Below are 19,082 nucleotides of genomic sequence, written 5' to 3' on the forward strand. Positions count from 1 at the left end.
CCAATGGAACAGAACAGAGGCCTCAGAAATAACACCACACATCTACAACCATCTGATCTTTGACAAACCTGACAAAAACAAGAAATGGGGAAAGGATCCCTTATTTAATAAACGGTGTTGGGAAAACTGGCTAGCCATATGCAGAAAGCTGAAACTGGATCCCTTCCTTACACCTTATGCAAAAATTAACTCAAGATGGATTAAGACTTAAATGTAAGACTAAAACCATAAAAACCCTAGAAGAAAACCTAGGCAATACCATTCAGGACATGGGCATGGACAAAGACTTCATGACTAAAACACCAAAAGCAATGGCAACGAAAGCCAAAATAGACAAATGGGATCTAATTAAACTAAAGAGCTTCTGCACAGCAAAAGAAACTATCATCAGAGTGAACAGGCAACTTACAGAATGGGAGAAAATTTTTGCAATCTGTCCATCTGACAAAGGGCTGATATCCAGAACCTACAAAGAACTTAAATTTACAAGAAAAAAGCAAAACAACCCCATCAGTGGGTGAAGGATATGAACAGACACTTTTCAAAAGAAGACATTTATGCAGCCAGCAAACATATGAAAAAATGCTCATCATCACTGGTCATTAGGGAACTGCAAATCAAAACCAAAAGGAGATACTGTCTCGCACCAGTTAGAATGGCGATCATTAAAAAGTCAGGAAGCAACAGATGCTGGAGAGGATGTGGAGAAATAAGAATGCTTTTACACTGTTGGTGGGAGTGCAAATTAGTTCAACCATTGCGGAAGACAGTGTGGCAATTCCTCAAGGATCTAGAACTAGAAATGTCATTTGACCCAGCAATCCCATTACTGGGTATACAACCAAAGGATTATAAATCATTCTACTATAAAGACACATGCACACGTGTGTTTATTGTGGCACTATTCACAATAGCAAAGACTTGGAACCAACTCCAACGTCCATCACTGATAGACTGGATAAAGAAAATGTGGCTCACATACACCATGGAATACTATGCAGTCATAAAAAAGGATGAGTCCACGTCCTTGGCAGGGACATGGATGAAGCTGGAAACCATCATTCTCAGCAAACTAACACAAGAACAGAAAACCAAACACCGCGTGCTCTCACTCATAAGTGGGAGTTGAACAATGAGAACACATGGACACAGAGAGGGGAACATCATACACTGGGGCTTGTTTGGGGGTGACAGGTTGATGGGTGCAGCAAACCACTATGGCATGTGTATAACTATGTAATGAAACTGCACATTCTGCACATGTACCCCAGAACTTGAAATATAATAAATAAAAAATAAAGGCACATGCATATGTATGTTTACTACAGCACTGTTCACAATAACAAAGGCTTGAAACCAACCCAAATGCCCACCACTAATAGACTGGAAAAGAAAATACGGCACATATACACCATGGAATACTATGCAGCCATAAAAAAAGGATGAATTCACGTTCTTTGCAGGGACATGCATGAAGCTGGAAACCATCATTCTCAGCTAACACAAAAACAGAAAACCAAACACCTCATGTTCTCATTCATAAGTGAGAGTTGAACAATGAGAACACATGGACACAGGGAGGGCAACATCACACACCAGGGCCTGATGGTGGGTGGGGGGGAGGCGGGGTGGGGGAGATAGGGAAGGGATAGCATTAGGAGAAATACCTAATGTAGATGACGGGTTGATGGGTACAGCAAACCACCATGGCACATATATACCTATGTAACAAACCTCCACATTCTGCACGTGTACCCCAGAAGTTAAAGTATAATTTTTTTAAAAAAAAGGTGAGATGTGATAAAAGTTGAACTTTGGGTTTTAAAAAAATTAGAATATCATATAATTTATTAAATCAATCCCTTAAGAAAATTTTACTGTTCTATTCAGTTATTTAGTGTATGTGTGTTTTTTATATCAAACTCAATCTCTAGAAAAACCATTATAATTTCCCTTAGACAACATGATAGACATTTCTAATATTACTTTATGAATAATTTTAAAGCTAGCTTATTTAAGATTTTACTGAAGTTATGTAACTTAAAGCATTTGACTAGTCTTTTCTTTTTTCTTGATAAAGTATTTTATTTAACTGCTTTTATTTTCTTAAGCCGATTAGAGCTCTTTTGTATATTTTCAGTAGTGAAACATTGTGTACACGACACATAAATACATAGACGTATTAGGCATGCCGATAGAAGTACATCTTATAGATTCATAAAAACCTTTTGTTTTTCCTGTCTTTCTCAGATTCTTGATAACCTGTTTCACAATCCTAGGCAGTTGTCAGCTACATAGCCTTAAATTTGCATACTAAAGGAAATAAAGGTGAAAATCAAATAGAAAAATTTACATCAGAAGGTAAGGAGAGGAAAAGTCTGGTATGCTAATGGAAGATTAAAGATGGATGTCAAGGCCAGGCATGGTGGCTCATACCTGTAATCCTAGCACTTTGGGAGGCTGAGGTGGGAGGATCACGAGGTCAAGAGATCAAGACCATCCTGGCCAACATGGTGAAACCCCGTCTCTACTAAAAATACAAAAATTAGCTGGGCATGGTGGCACGCACCTATAGTCCCAGCTACTTGGGAGGCTGAGGCAGGAGAATCACTTGAACCCAGGAAGCAGAGATAGTAGTGAGCCAAGATCGTACCACTGCACTCCAGCCTGGCAACAGAGTGAGACTCTGTCTCAAAAAAAAAAAAAAAATGGCTATGTCAAATCAAACATAAAATTATAAAAACCTATCATAGATTGTATAAGGAGACCAATTTTATTTAAATAGGGACTACTTATCTTTTAACTGCATCTCTGAGCTCTGGGCTGAGCCTACACTGAATCCTGGGTTTCCAAAAAGGGAGAATTATTATGAGGCTAGACCACATGATCTTTTTACAGTGTACTTAAAAAAATTTTTTTTAAACAAAGACATTTCTAAATGTCTAAACTACATTCTTCTTTAAAAACCCAAGAGTAAACTCTGTTGCAATAACTACTTAAGTCAGCAAATCAGGTAACATAATACAAAAGCAAGCAGTTTAAGGGTTGAGACAAACTTGTCTGTTTACACTCTTGGAGTTCCATAAGGAAAAACAGGTTTCTCCCCCAAAAGGAGTCTGGCACCTTCATTTTCTTTAAGGAACTCCAGGCTATCATAAACTATTTTAGGTCTCTTATGCAGCAGAGGGTGCAAGAGAAAGGAGAGGCAGCAGAAGTAAATGAAGAAAAAAGAATTTAGCCAACTGAGAAGAAAAAAAAGCTTTTGCTCAAATAAAAAGAAAAAGGACGAGGTTCTAGGAGAGGGAAAAAACCACGAAGGCCTTTTAAATACACACACACACACACACACACACACACACACACACACATCTTGGATGTTAGCTTCTAATTAAGCTGACTTTAACTATTGAGCTCCTTTTAAAAAAAGTCTTTTTAAATCTCGTTACCATATTTCAACTAGGACAAATTGCTGCTATTTCAGAAGTACAGCCATTGCTCTTTCAGTTTGGCCTGGCTAGCAAAAAGGTAGGCTTGTTATGTAAATAAGGCCCTTTTAGTAGTCAAAATAAAAAATCTTGCCTCTCTCTTTTTTTTTCTTTTTCGGGCCATTTTTCTCCCCTCACCACACCAGCTTTTTTTGTGTGGGAATTTAGCCACTACAGAGGCCTTGTTCCCCATAATTTGGAACTTCCCTTCGGATTTGATCAAGTTCAGATGGAGTTGATCAAACCCAATGAGAAAAAGACCAAAACAACAAAAACAGAAACAAACAACAAAAAACAGTTAGGCAAAACAAATGATCACACAACTTATATGATTACTGAGCACTCTAATGGTAAGGTGAAATTAAGACCAGCTGGTTGTTAATCTTAACTTTAGCCAAGTTACTTACAGTTACTTACCTAAAGATGGGTCTCAGGCTGAAGGCTGCTCTCTACCATCCTAACAGCAGGAAAAAAAAATTCATCTTCCCTGTTGGAAGTGAGCTCAAACTCCATAAAGGAGTTACCTATCTCCATCATCATGGAAGCAGAAAAAAACTTGCCTTCCTTGTGCTGAAAGCAAGTAAAACTCCAAAACAACAACAACAACAACAACAAAAAGAGTTGTATAGCAAAATAAACTTTAGATCTCGAACAAATTTGGGGAGATCAGAGATTCTCTGGAGGGGGTGTTTCCAGGCCTCAGCAAATTGTCCTATCCATTTGAACCATTAAGATAGCTCATGCTGGTACCAAGCATTGATTTGTCAAAGGTCAGCAGCACCTCCAGTCAGAATCCCTTTGTGGTTACCAAGATGTGAACCCCAAAAATCTGAGACAGGTCTCAGTTAATTTAGAAAGTTTATTTTGAAAAGGTTGAGGATGCACCTGTGACACAGCCTCAGGAGGTCCTGATGACACGTGCCCAGGGCGGTGTTATATATAAAGTTTCAGTGCTGCAGAAGAAACAGCACTCAAATATAAAATTTTCTTTTGAATTCTCAGCAAGACCAGGTACTTCTATAGAAGGGTGTGCCCTTACAGATGGAGCAATGGTGAGCGCACACTTGAACAAGGGAGGGGAAGGGTTCTTATCCCTGACACATGTGGCCCTTCCTGCTGTGTCATTCCCCTATTGGCTAGGGTTAGACCGCATGGGCTAAACTAATTCCAATTGGCTAATTTAAAGAGAATGATGGGGTGAGTGCTTTGGCAGAAGTCAGGGCAGAGCAGGTAGCAGGTAATCAGAATGAGTTAGGGTGGAGCAGCTGATCGGAATGAGTTAGGGTGGAGCAGCTGATCCGAATGAGTTAGGGTGGAGTAGGTAATCAGAATGAGACAGGGTGGAGTAGGTAATCAAAAAAGGTTGCTTTATGAGGAAGTTAAATTTAAAAGTAGAAGGCAAAGGATTGAACATACTGACATATTAATTATTTGAAAAGAAATTTAGAACTCATACCTAACAACCCCTCCCCTTGTATTTCCTTACAGCTGTCTTTTCAAACTTTTTTTTAACATGTCTTGCCTTAGTTGCTTTGCTTGATTTTCCAAAAGAAGAAGCTTCTCTGGGTAAGGTAGAGGATAGTTAAGGGATATTTTAATTAAGTGCTGTTTCAATGAGCCTCTGCACCAACCCACAGATGCATGGTGTGACATAGCACCTGACAAGAATAAGTACACCCATTACAGCTGTGAGGGAAGTAAGAATTGAGGCTATTATTCTTTTCCATTTACCAAACCACTTTTCTAGCCATTCTGTAAAAGTGATCATTTACCCCTGAGTTGTTGGCTAACTCATTGGACAGAGAAGTTAGACCTTGCAATGCCTTTGTTATACTTCCATTAAGGGTGATGTTGTTTGGGATGAAGGTGCAACATTGAGTTTTAATCATGAGGCAAACTCCTCCGCTTTCTGCTAATATCATGTTTAAGGCTATCCTATTTTCCCAAGCCATCTGGCTAGTAGCCCCTAATTGTTCAGGTATTCCTTTAACAGCATCTCTAGTGTAGTTAATAGATCACCGTTGGTTGTAGATGTAGTTTATCCAATCTACATTTTTATTAATTGTCACCTACCAAAATATTGACTTGAATCCTGCAGCTATTTGATTTTGGGCTTTAAATTGATCTGGTATTCCCTGTGGGACTTTAATTGTGTCTAAATAGATGTGAGAGTCAAAAGACCTATAAGAGGCTTCTCTTGCTTTACGATGTTTTATTTTTCCTTCCTCTGGTTGATAAAATGCCAGAGTGAAAGGGATAGCCAATTGGACTAAAGCACAAGTGCCACTCCAGTTATTTGGGAGAGTGTCCAGTAAAGATCCACCACAATACCACCACACATCCACTCGGGGATGAACAAGGGCTGACTGATTGATAAGCTCTTGAAAATTCTTAAGCTCACTGCATCCCTTCAGGTCTCCAAGGAATACTAAGTTTCCTCCCTGTCATGAGAGACACAAAGTGAACTTTGTATTGGGAGATGGAAGCTGGATGCCCTCGGGGGCTGACCCACAGGGTGCCGGACTTCAGGATATAGCAGAGAGAGAGCTTGGCATGACTTATTACTCCAGGCTGTAGAATCCTGGAAAAGAGCTACCATAAAGCCCATGCCTGGTCAACTGGAGGACCACCCTAGTGGTAAGGGGACAATCTGGGCCTCTGGCCTACCATGCACACAAGCATAACAATTGCTTTTGTTTAATGTGTGGAGGGAATATTTGATCCATTCCAACCAGGCATTTGCATCTTGGTATCCTAATTGCCAAAGTTTGTTTTAAGTCTAACTCCTATGATAGCTATAGCTATCTTGGTCTTGTTGTTAGATGGAGGAGGAGCAATTTTTCCATTGTGAGAGGTTTTGGAAGAAGGCTTAGAGGAAGTTGCAGGGGGTGGGGGATCAAATAAATGCATTTCAAAGAATCTAATAGGGTTTGTCCCTGAAACCTCAGCCCCCATACCATAAAACCAGCTTAAAGAAGGGAACCGGCTTAGAAAAGGGGAAGAACTTTGAGGATTTCAGATAATGACCTGTATAGAATTACACTGGTTTAGCTGACAGTTAGCGGGGGAGGGCTGTTCCTTTAATAAAATGAATGTATGGTTTTAGGAAATTACAAAAACCGGTTGGGGCAGTCCATTCTTGCTCTTTAGTGGTCCACAGAATGTTGGACCAACTACAGCATAAAAGCTCTACATCAGGGAGCAAGACTCCTGATTGACACTGGGGTCTTTATTGAAATCTCCCCGGATTAAATGGTCCCAATTCACTAATGTCCAGCCTGAGGAGAGTCAGGAGGGACAGAGGTACTTTTCTGAAGTAGGGAGCCATCTTTGACTTGGCAAATCCCTACAGGGCATAACAAGGCAAACATTAAATGCAATAGTTCGAGGCAAAATTGACTTGGTTATGTTAATAACTAGATGGTCAGCAATAGAATGAGATAAGAAGAAAGAGTAATAGGATAGATGAAAATTTAAAGTTAAATTTTTCTTAGCTTTAGTTTGGTAGGGTTTTCCCCTGGGACTATGGCCCACGACTCTAGAGGGGATGGTGCTTTCTTGACTTGGGTGTGATGAGTCCATCCCCTTCCTGCTGTACGAACAGCAGTCTTGGTGGTTAGCAGCACAAGTTAGAGTCATTCCTATGCTGGTTTGAGTTTTCCTTCTTTCCACCCTTTGATGAGAACATGATCCTCAGGCTGGTGCTGGTTTACCAAAAAATCTTGGGGTGGTACCTGTGCTAAAAGACTTAGTTTTGAGGGAAAGGAAAGTGAAGGATAAACCAAGTATATAATTTCTAAGAAATTGACCTTTTGTTTTAAATGTGGAGACATCAGCAGTGGACTTTATAGTCCTTGGTGCCTTCTTACTGAGAAATTTCCTTTAGCACCTATTTTTATTAGTTTTTAGACCAAAGAAAGCCAAATGCCATTTTATATTTGACAATGCTTCCTGTATGATTTTTATACCAGATAAGCTAAATTTCACCTTTATATTAGTGTGTTATTAATGTTAAACTTAATTTTAATACAACCTTGTAGACATATTTATCCAATTTTTAATGTCTGACCAGAAGGTAAGATTTTTATAGACTTTTTTTAACCTTTTATAATTTTTGTTACAGAGCAGGTTAGTGCTTTAAGAAAAACCTGTTGTGCTTTTAATGTCCAGTTCACAGAAAAACTGGATGACACCCCCTTAACTTTAGCCAATATGTTTACACACAGAATTTCCTTTACAATTAATGTTTTAAAACTTGCTTAAACCTTTAAAACAAAATATATACTTTTTAACCTTTTAATGTAGGTAAAAATCCACATTCTTATGCATCCTTATAATCCTTTTACCAAAAGTATATTTTACTTTCCTTACACACCTTGCACATAAACTGTTTCTTCAATAGTTTTACATTCAGGAGGCCTAATTACTTTTAAATTATACAACATTTCTTGCATAAATTCCCTTTTATAATTTTTTTTCCTGACTTTCACAGACAATTCTTTGACACGCCTCAACTTTCTGACTTGTCACAAACATCCCTTTTATTTAAACAACCAGTTAATTTATTTTAGGACAAGAATTTACCATATAACATCCCTTTTTATATAAATTCTACCCCCCCCCCACCCCTTTTTTCTTCTCTGAAGATAACTATTCTTTTCCAAAGCAAACTTCCTTCATGTCTGTGGACTAGACTGTCTAAGGCCACAAGATTAGAAGTTAGGATAATACATGTTAACTTTTAGCAAACTTTACTTTTGCTGAAAACCTTGTAAGTTTGGGATTTCAATTATTCTTTATTATTAATACGACCTTGTTTTTAGTCCAAATTAACTTAGAATTTGTACAGATGGTTCCTTCCTGGTTCTGTATTTTGAGGCTTGGCTGAGTGCAAACAGCTCGCACATTTGAGCAGACCAATTATTAGGTAATTTTCCTAACTCTGCTTCTACAAGAGTTTCCTTATCACTTACTGAATACCGATTGTGTCTTCTTCCCTCAATCACCTGGGAGGAAACATCTATCATCCTGTCCTGAAGGGAGTTCCTCCTAGGTCTGGTCGGACCTTTGTGTAGTAATTAAGATTTAGATCCCCTGCTAGGAAACCTGCTGGGTTAAGGGAATTTTTAGTGGTTAATGTTGAATCTTTTTTTTTTTTTTTTTTTAACAGAATTGCCTCATACTTTCTTCTGTTAGCAAAGCAGTTGTCGCTACAGATTGAATGTATTTGGGCCATCTACGGGTTATTGGGTTAAGGATTTTTGATAGGAAGGGTACGGGTTGTCAGTGTCCTCAGTGCTTTCGGGCTATGCCCTTGTTTACACTGACAACAAGGTGGTATTGGAGTGTTACAGGGTCACAGAGAAGACCTTCAATTACCAATTATGGGTTTTTAATTTACCCTGGTTTTTAAAGGAATAGGGTACACTGTTTTTTCTTTACTACATCTTTCTTTCTCTCTGACTTTCTGTCTCTCTTTCTCTCTCTGACTCCCTCTTTCTCTCTCTGACTCCCTCTCTCTCTCTCTGCCTCTTCCTCTCTCTCTCTGCCTCTTCCTCTCTCTGCCTCTTCCTCTCTCTCTGCCTCTTCCTCTCTCTCTCTGCCTCTTCCTCTACCTCTTCCTCTCTCTACCTCTTCCTCTCTCTCTCTGCCTCTTCCTCTCTCTGCCTCTTCCTCTTTGCCTCTTCCTCTCTCTCCCTCTCTCTCCCTCTCTGCCTCTTCCTCTCTCTCTCTCTGCCGCTTCCTCTCTCTCTCTCTGCCTCTTCCTCTCTCTCTCTCTCCGCCTCTTCCTCTTTCTGCCTCTTTCCTCTCTCTCTTTCTGCCTCTTTCCTCTCTCTCTTTCTGCCTCTTTCCTCTCTCTCTTTCTGCCTCTTTCCTCTCTCTCTTTCTGCCTCTTTCCTCTCTCTCTTTCTGCCTCTTTCCTCTCTCTCTTTCTGCCTCTTTCCTCTCTGTCTCTCTCTCTCTTTCTGCCTCTTTCCTCTCTGTCTCTCTCTCTCTCCCCTTTCTGCTGGTCTTTCCCTGCCTGTGCCAGCTGCTTATGCTGTTCTCCCCTCTCCTTCCCCTTTTACCTCGGAAACTAAAAGTTCCTCTGAGGAGGAGACAACATTAGACGGGGGGTTGGGGGGAACAAACAGAGGAGCAAGCAGCGCCTGAATCGACTAAAAAGGTGATAAGCTCATGTTTAGGGCCCACCTCCAAATTTATCAAGGGCTCCTGCTGGGACTCAATATAAAAAAGACAGAGCCCCTGACCCCCCTACTCTTCCTCTAAAGTCATGAGTGGAAGGGCTTCTTTCTCCTTTCTTAGTTCAGGACATCCTCTCTTGAAGTGGCCTGTTTTTCCACATCTATAGCACCTATCTTGTCCTTCCTCCCTCTTAGTTCTGGGATTCTTTAACCCTGCTCCCCCATACTCTTTAGGGGGCCTGGTAGATGAGGACCTTGGTCCTCCAGATAGAGGCTGGGGTCATTTAAAAGAGGGTTCGGACCCTTTATAGTTTCTGGCTCCCTGGAAGCTCTGTCTAGACGTACCTGGGTTTGGAGCCATCTGTTGGAAGGTGGAAAACATAAGTTTTGTCTTTTTTTTTCTCTTTTTCTTCATCCCTTTTCATGTATACTTTCTGAGCTTCCCTGAGAAGCTCACTTAGAGGACGGTCTTCCCAATTGTCTATTTTTGTAACTTTTTTGAAATATCTGGCCAACTTTTAGTGACAAATTGGAGTTTCAACATTCCTTGCCCAAGGGGATCATCCAAATTGAGGCCTGCACATTGCCTCATTTGCTCCCTCAGTCTGTCTAGGAATCTCATAGGCCCTTCGTCCTTTTCCTGTTGTATATCAAGTGCTTTAGAAAGATTTCGAGTTCAGGGTACTTATTCCCAAATTCCTTTTATTATTATCTCCCTTACATTCTGCATATTTTCCCGGTGATCTGCGTTGTTATTGTCCCACTGGGGGTCTCGGGTGGAGAATTTCTGGCCTGTGGTAGGAATGTTTTCATCAGGAGGGTGCTCACATTCCTGAACTACCATAGCAGCCCTACAAATCATACTCCTTTCTTCCTCTGAAAAGAGGATGCCCAAGATGGACAGTAACTCGACCCAAGTGTATAACTGAGGTCCTAAGAATTGGTCAATTTGGTCTGCCACTCCATAAGGGTCATCTAGTGGCAGTTTAAGCTCCTTTTTAAAATTTCAGACTTACAAAGCCAATGCCTGCCCCCCGCCCCCCCCCCCCCCGACCTCCCTTGTGGTACCTCTTTCAAAGGGAAGAGGGTCGGGGCTGACCTCTTAGGTACAGAAGGAACTGGGAAATTCTAAATATCTTTTTTACATTGTTCTACCTCATGCTGGAGTCCTTTTAGAGAGGGGTCTTTAGGTTGGGAGGGAACAGGCTGGTGGCACAGTAATTCCCAAGAGTCAGGGTTATAAGGAGGAGGGATAATGTGAGTAGAGGGGGAATTTGGAATGGGATCTGAGGCAGCAGTGGCTGTTTGAGGGGAAAGATCGGGGACACTGAGTGGGGGAAGATACTCTAGGGGATCCCACGTGCTGGAATCTTTAGGCATGAGAGCTGGCTCCTCTGACTTTTCATTTTGAGGTGCCAGATTTGGTTCTTCCCTATTTGTTTTTAAGGGAAAAAGGAGGGCAGGTCCTTGCCTCCAACAAAGGGCATAGCCTAGTTCTTCTTGAGATACTGGACTTTTATCATTAACATATCAGATTAGAAACTGACACATTACATACTCATTCTACCCAAACTTTGGCCAGAAGATTGAGGTATTGAGGATGGGTCCCTGAGTCCAAATAAAACAGCAATATTTTAACATTTGTTGCTTTTTCCTATGTTTAGTCCTCTCATTATCTTTCCAGTGTTTTCGCATGAGACCTAGGGGGCTATACAGTGGAATATCTTCGTTACCATCTTTATCCCCCTTACTCCCTGTCTTGCTTGGGGTATTTCCCATCTTGATGGTTTTGGGGTAAGGTTCAAGGTTCAATTTCCCCTACTGGAAATTTCTCACCTTTTGGGGTAAGCCTCAATTTCCCCACTGGGATTTTTGCCTTTTGGGGTGGGGCTCAATTTCCCCACTGGAAATTTCTTGCCTTTTGGGGTGAGGCTCAATTTCCTCCATGGGAAATTTCTCACCTTTTCTACTATGGAGGTTTGTGTGAGGTTCAATCCCCCCCAGTGGGGATGTCTCACCTCTTTTTAACCTCTAAGCCACCCCAACCAAGGAGTACTTCACTGCCCCACCCCCCACGGCTTTCTTACCTTGGTCCTGACCACCAGGGAAATACTTTACTGGCTCCCACGGCTTCTCCTTCCTTGGTCCATGCCCAGAGTCATTGCTGCAGTATGTGAGGATCCTTTAAGCTAGGTTGCTGGCCAGTTTTTTGTTTTGGTTTGGTTTTTTCTGTGTTGCTGAGAGCTCAGGTTATTCCTCGCACTGGGTGGGTCTTGATTTCTCACCCCTGAGGCCGCCAGAAGGGGGCGGGGCACACCTCCTCACGAGAGTGAACCAGAGACCGTCCCCAGAGGGAAATGTAATCACAGGCGAGCCCCCAAATTGTTACATATAAAGTTTCAGTGCTGCAAAAGAAATAGCACTCAAATATAAAATTTTATTTTTAACTCTCAGCAAGGCCAGGTACTTCTGTAGAAAGATGTGCCCTGGTGGCTCACGCCTGTAATCCCAGCACTTTGGGAGGCCAAGATGGGTGGATCACGAGGTCAGGAGATCGAGACCATCCTGGCTAACACGGTGAAACCCCGTCTCTACTAAAAATACAAAAAAATTAGCCAGGCTTGGTGGTGGGTGCCTTGTAGTCCCAGCTACTTGGGAGGCTGAGGCAGGAGAATGGCAAGAACCCGGAAGACAGAGCTTGCAGTGAGCTGAGATCACGCCACTGCACTCCAGCCTGGGCGACAGAGAGAGACTCCGTCTCAAAAAACAAAACAAAACAAAAATGAAGTGTGCACCCTTACAGATGGAGCAATGGTGAGCGCACACTTGGACAAGGGAGGGGAAGGAGTTCTTATCCTTGACGCACATGGCCCCTGCTGCTGTGTTATTCCCCTATTGGCGAGGATTAGACTGCATGGGCTAAACTAATACTGATTGGCTAATTTAAAGAGAATGATGGGGTGAGTGCTTTGGCAGAAGTCAGGGTCGAGCAGGTAGCAGGTAATCAGAATGAGTTAGTGTGGAGCAGCTGATTGGAATGAGTTAGGGTGGAGCAGATGATCAGAATGAGTTAGGGTGGAGTAGGTAGTCGAAAAAAGTTGCTTTACAAGGAAGTGAAGTTTAAAAGTAGAAAGTTTAAAAGGAAGTTTAAAAGTAGAAGGCAAAGAATTGAACATACTGACATATTAATTCTTTGAAAATAAATTTAGAATTCATATCTAACAGTGGTCAGAGCACAGTTTGGTTTTATACATTTTAGGGAGACATGAGACATTAATCAACATATGTAAGATGAACATTGGTTCCGTCTGGAAAGGTGGGACAACTCAAAGTGGGGAGGGAGCTTCCAGGTCATAGGTAGGTAAGAGACAAATTGTTGCATTCTTTTGAGTTTCTGATTAATCTCTCCAAAGGAGGCAATGAGATATGCATTTATCTCAGTGAGCAGAGGGGTGACTTTGAATAGAATGGGAGGCAGATTTGCCCTAAGCAGTTCCCAGCTTGACTTTTCCCTTTAGCTTAGTGATTTTGGGGGCCCAAGATATTTTCCTTTCACACTTTGACACAGGGAAGATGATGCTGACAATCAGAAGGCTGTGTTTCTGAGAACTGATGCTGCTTCATTTCAAAAACATAAACAGTGAGAAGCAATGCTTTTACTAAAACATGAATAAAAAATCATTACCACTATATCTGAGTGTTTAACATGTGCTTCTAGTGAAAGTTAAGAAGTGGCAAATGAGTCAGGGCCTGGAACATGAGGGTTAAACAGGGCATTACCCACCTGAGCTCTTTCTCTCAGGTTTTCTGGGGAATCAGTGATTATTTCACCAGGCAGCATCACTCTTCTCCTTGTTCATCTGTGTGAAACCACGTTCACCCTAATCCAACCCAGGCAAGACAATACAACATGATAGTGACAGCCCTGGCTTTGTGGTTCTGTTCTTATATTTTAACGTTAAAAATATGAATTTCTTGGCCGGTCATGGTGGCTCACACCTGTAATCCCAGTACTTTGGGAGGCCAAGGGATGGGGGGCCGGGGGGGTGGATCAACAGAGGTCAGGAGCTTGACACCAGCCTGGCCAACAATGGTGAAACTCCATCTCTACTAAAAATACAAAAATTAGCCAGGCATGGTGGCAAGTGCCTGTAATCTCAGCTACTTGGGAGGCTGAGGCAGGAGAATAGCTGGAACCTGAGAGGTTGCAGTGAGCTGAGATCATGCCATTGCACTTCAGCCCAGGTGACAACAGCAAGACTCCACCTCAAAAAAAAAAAGAATTTCTTGTTAATTTCCCCATTTGTAGCACTATTCTATTTTGTTATGTTATTCTTTGTTATTCTTTCTATCTCTCTATCCATCTATCTCCCTATTCATCCAGATGGAAAACAAGCACTGGTTATAGACATGGATAAATATGCATGCATATTCATGCTGGCAAATGCATAACCACTTGCATTTAATCCAGAACACAGCTTTAAAGCCAGATTAAATCATGGCTTCAATGCTCATTAGTTGTGAGACCATCAACCATCAACATCTCATTTTCACCTATGTAATGATATACTTTCTTCTATCTAAAGGATGTGGACAACATAGAATAAAAACATATCCAAGAAAATAGAACTACCAAATGCAGTTCAAATAAAGAGAGAGTGAAGTAGGACCAATTATATGGATATAAAGAGATGTCACAGAATTCCAAAATAAGAGGTTAAGTGCACCCAGTCCTCAGAAGGACTCTGTTCTCTAGCTTTTTCTTTGCTCATTGATTTCTTCTGATTACTGGTCTGCTAGGCATAAATTTCCTTAGCCCCCACATCTATAAAACCTCACAGTCCACTGCCCATCAGTAACTTTTATTTTTAATACCAAATTACTGGAAGAGCAATCTGGCTGGTTTAACTTATCTGCTTTGAGTGAAGGCATCTATGCCATAGGTTGCTGGCTAGAAAAGGGCTGCCACTGGGTTAGATTTCTGCCCATTGGCAAATAAGTTATGGTTGGAGCGGGAAAGGAGGAGTATCCCAGGGAAATAGCACTGTCTAAGGCACTATTTCTCAGAGGTAGCTATGTATAGCAGACAATAATTTCAAGGGCCAAGTGTAGACTAGGTGCTCAATACGTAGGATTTCAATTTTTTTTTTCTTTTTGAGACAGAGTCTCACTCTGTCACCCAGGCTGGAGTGCAGTGGCATGATCTTGGCTCACTGCAACCTCCGCCTCCCGGGTTCAAGCAATTCTCCTGCCTCAGCCTCCCAAGTAGCTGGGACTACAGGTGCATGCCACGGACACCAAGCTAACTTTTGTAGTTTTAGTAGAGACAGGGTTTCACCATATTGGTCAGTTGGTCTCAAATTCCTGACCTCAGATGATCCACCCGCCTCAGTCTCCCAAAGTGCTGGGATTACAAGCGTGAATCACTGTGCCTGGCCAGAATTTCAATTTTTATAAACCAGATGGAAGGTAGTGTTTTCTTGACTTTTAACCATGAAACTTAAGAAGTTTATTATTATTATTATTATTATTATTATTATTATTATTATTTCAATAGCTTTAGAGGTATGTGTGGTTTTTGGTTACATGGATGAATTGTATAGTGGTGAATCTGGAATTTTAGGATACTTGTCACTTGAATAGTGTACATTGTACCCAATACACAGTTTTGCATCCCTCACCTCCTACCCACTCTTCCCCCTTCAGGGTCTCCAATGTCCATTATACCATTTTGTATGCCTTTGTGTACCCACAGCTTAGCTCCCACTTACAAGTGCGAACCTGCAGTATTTGGTTTTCCATAACCATGGAATTTAAGGAGGGAGTTCTAGATGTCCAATGAATTGTCTACTTCTCTTGTATTATTTTTATTAGGAAATTTTTCAATTACACAGAAAACAACAGATTCTAATATAACTGAACATCTGAATTTAAAAGACATTTATTAGTTGTAATATTTTTCAAATCATTTTAATAATATGAATGAAATATTACTGGTAAAATTGAGAAATTTTATTGTCATTTTCAGTTCTCTGGCCCTTCCTACCTATGTTAACAAAATCACTATCATCCTTATATCATGTGTATATTCTTCAATCATGCTATTATAATTTTGTCACGTTAATGTGTATTCCTAAGCAATGTATGGTATTTTAAATGCTTTCTTTTTTAAGTATATTTTAATTTTTATTTTAGATTCAGGAGTACATGTGCAGGTTTGTTAGGTGGGTATATAACATGATGCTGAGGCTTGGTGTATGAGTGATCCTGTCACCCAGGTAGTGAACACAGTACCCAATAGGTAGTTTTTCAGCCCTTGCTCCCATCCCTCCTTCCCTCCTCTAGTATTCCCCAGTGTTTATTGTTGCCATCTTTATGTCCATGTGTATTCAATGTTCAGCTCCCCCTTATAAGTGAGAACATGCAGTATTTGGTTTTCTGTTCCTGTGTTAATTCACTTAGGATATTGGCTTGGACCGCATCCACGTTGCTGCAAAGGACATGATATCACTCTTTCTTATGGTGCCATAGTATTCCGTGGTGTATATGTACTATATTTTCTTCATCCAATCCATCAATGATGGGCACCTATGTTGATTCCATGTCTCTGCTATTGTGACTAGTGCTGCGATAAGCATATGAGTGTGTGTGTCTTTTTGGCAGAATGTTTTATGATCCTTTGGGTATATACCCAGTAGTAGGATTGCTGGGTTGAATGGCAGTTCTGTTTTAGGTCCTTTGAGAAGTCTCCAACTTCTTTCCACACTGGCTGAACTAGTTGACATTCCCACCAACAGCGTATAAGCCCCAGTCTTCCATAGCACTCCCAGGCCTATTAGGACAAGGAAATTCCCACCCAGTAAATTTTAGCCAGACCGGTTATCTGCTCTTAAACCCTGTCTCCTGATAAGATGTTATCCATGACAATGCATGCCCAAAACTTCATTACCAATTTTAATTTCACCCTGGTACTCTGCCCCCATTTGCCTTGTGATATTTTATTGCCTTGTGAAGCATGTGATCTCTGTGACCCACACCCTATTCGTACACTCCCTCCCCTTTGAAAATCAGTAATAAAAACTTGCTGGTTTTATGGCTCAGGGGGCATGAAGGAAACTGCCAACATGTGATGTCTCCCCCGGACACCCAGCTTTAAAATTTCTCTCTTTTGTACTCTTTCCCTGTATTTCTCAGACTGGCTGATACTTAGGGAAACAGAAAAGAACCGACGTGAAATATTGGGGGTGGTTCCCCTGATAGGTCCCACATGTCAATTTTTGTTCTTGTTACAATTGCTTTTGAGGACTTAGTCATAAATTATTTGCCAAGGCCAGTGTCCAGAATGACATTTCCTTTCTTCTAGGATTTTTATAGTTTTAGGTCTCACATTTAAGCCTTTAATCCATCTTGAGTAAATTTTTGTCTATGGTGAAACATAGGATTCCAGATTCAATCATCTGCTTAGGGCTAGCCAGTTATCCCAGTACCATTTACTGAATAGGGAGCCCTTTTCTCATTGTTTGTTTTTGCTGATTTTGTCAAAGATCAGGTGGTTGTAGGTGTGTGGCTTTATTTCTGGGTTCTCTATTCTGTTCCATTGGTCTATGGGTCTGTTTTTGACCAATACCATGCTGTTTCGGTTACTGTAGCCTTGTAGTATAGTTTGAAGTTGAGTAATGTGATGCATCCAGCTTTGTTCTTTTTGCTTAGGATTGCTTTTGCTATTAGGGCTCTTTTTTGGTTTCATATGAATTTAAGAATAGTTTTTTCTATTCAAATAGAGGATGACTTTGATGAGTTGACAGAACTAGGCTTCAGAAGGTCGGTAATAATAAACTTCTCTAAGCTAAAGGAGCATGTTCAAACCCACAACAAGGAAGCTAAAAACCTTGAAAAAAGATTAGATGAATGGCTAACTAGAATAAACAGTGTAGAGAAGATCTTAAATGACCTGATAGAGCTGAAAACCATGGCAGGAGAACTATGTGATGCATGCATAAGCTTCAGTAGCCAATTCGATCAAGTGGAAGAAAGGGTTTCAGCAATTGAAGATCAAATTAATGAAATGAAGCAAGAAGAGAAGTTTAGAGAAAAAAGAGTAAAAACAATGAACAAAGCCTCCAAGAAATATGGGACTATGTGAAAAGACCAAATCTACATTTGATTGGTGTACCTGAAAGTGACAGGAGAATGGAACCAAGCTAGAAAACATTCTTCAGGATATTATCCAGGAGAACTTCACCAACCTAGCAAGGCAGGCCAACATTCAAATTCAGGAAATTCAGAGAACACCACAAAGGTACTCCTCGAGAAGGGCAACCCCAAGACACATAATTGTCAGATTCACCAAGGTTGAAATGAAGGAAAAAATGTTAAGGGCAGCCAGAGAGAAAGGTTGGGTTACCCACAAAGGGAAGCCCATCAGGCTAACAGCGGCTCTCTCAGCAGAAACTCTATAAGCCAGAAGAGAGTGGGGGCCAATATTCAACATTCTTAAAGAAAAGAATGTTCAACCCAGAATTTCACATCCAGCCAAACTAAGCTTCATAAGTGAAGGAGAAATAAAATCCTTTACAGACAAGCAAATGCTGAGAGATTTTGTCACCACCAGGCCTGCCTTACAAGAGCTCCTGAAGGAAGCACTAAACATGGAAAGGAACAACCGGTATCAGCTACTGCAAAAATACGCAAAATGGTAAAGACCATCGATGCTAGGAAGACACTGCATCAACTAACGGGCAAAATAACCAGCTAACGTCATAATGACAGGATCAAATTCACACATAACAATATTAACCTTAAATGTAAATGGGCTAAATGCCCCAATTAAAAGACACAGACTAGCAAATTGGATAAAGAGTCAAGACCCATCAGTGTGCTGTACTCAGGAGACCCATCTCAAGTACAGACACACATATAGGCTCAAAATAAAGGGATGGAGGAAAATTTACCAAGAAAATGGAAAGAAAAAAAAAAAGCAGGAGTTGCAATCCTAGTCTCCGATAAAATAGACTTAAAACCAATAAAGATCAAAAGAGACAAGGCCATTACATAATGGTAAAGGGATCAATTCAACAAGAAGAGCTAACTATTCTATACATATATATCTGCACCCAATACAGGAGCACCCAGATTCATAAAGCAAGTCTTTAGAGACCTACAAAGAGACTTAGATTCCCACACAATAATAATGGGAGACATTAACACCCCACTGTCAATATTAGACAGATCAACATGACAGGAGGTTAGACACAAGGATATCCAGGACTTGAACTCAGCTCTGCACCAATCAGACCTAATAGACATCTACAGAACTCTCCACCCCAAATCAACAGAATATACATTCTTCTCAGCACCACATTGTACTTATTCCAAAATTGACCACATAGTTGGAAGTAAAGCACTCCTCAGC

General features: G+C 40.8%; 1 protein-coding gene and 1 long non-coding RNA gene across 5 annotated transcripts in view; one reads left to right on the plus strand and one right to left on the minus strand.

The window, feature by feature from the left end:
* LOC105371619 (uncharacterized) overlaps positions 1 to 2,354 on the plus strand; it is a 44,005-nt gene extending 41,651 nt beyond the window's left edge. For both annotated transcript variants that reach the window (XR_007066737.1, XR_922291.4), the window contains one exon: positions 2,251 to 2,354. This is a non-coding gene — a long non-coding RNA (uncharacterized LOC105371619). The remainder of the gene's footprint in view (positions 1 to 2,250) is intronic.
* Positions 1 to 19,082, minus strand: part of ANKRD45 (ankyrin repeat domain 45) — a 106,850-nt gene that overhangs the window by 71,020 nt on the left and 16,748 nt on the right. The gene's annotated exons all lie outside the window — the stretch shown is intronic.

Source organism: Homo sapiens, chromosome 1, assembly GCF_000001405.40.
Source record: "Homo sapiens chromosome 1, GRCh38.p14 Primary Assembly".
Taxonomy (NCBI): Eukaryota; Metazoa; Chordata; class Mammalia; order Primates; family Hominidae; genus Homo; species Homo sapiens.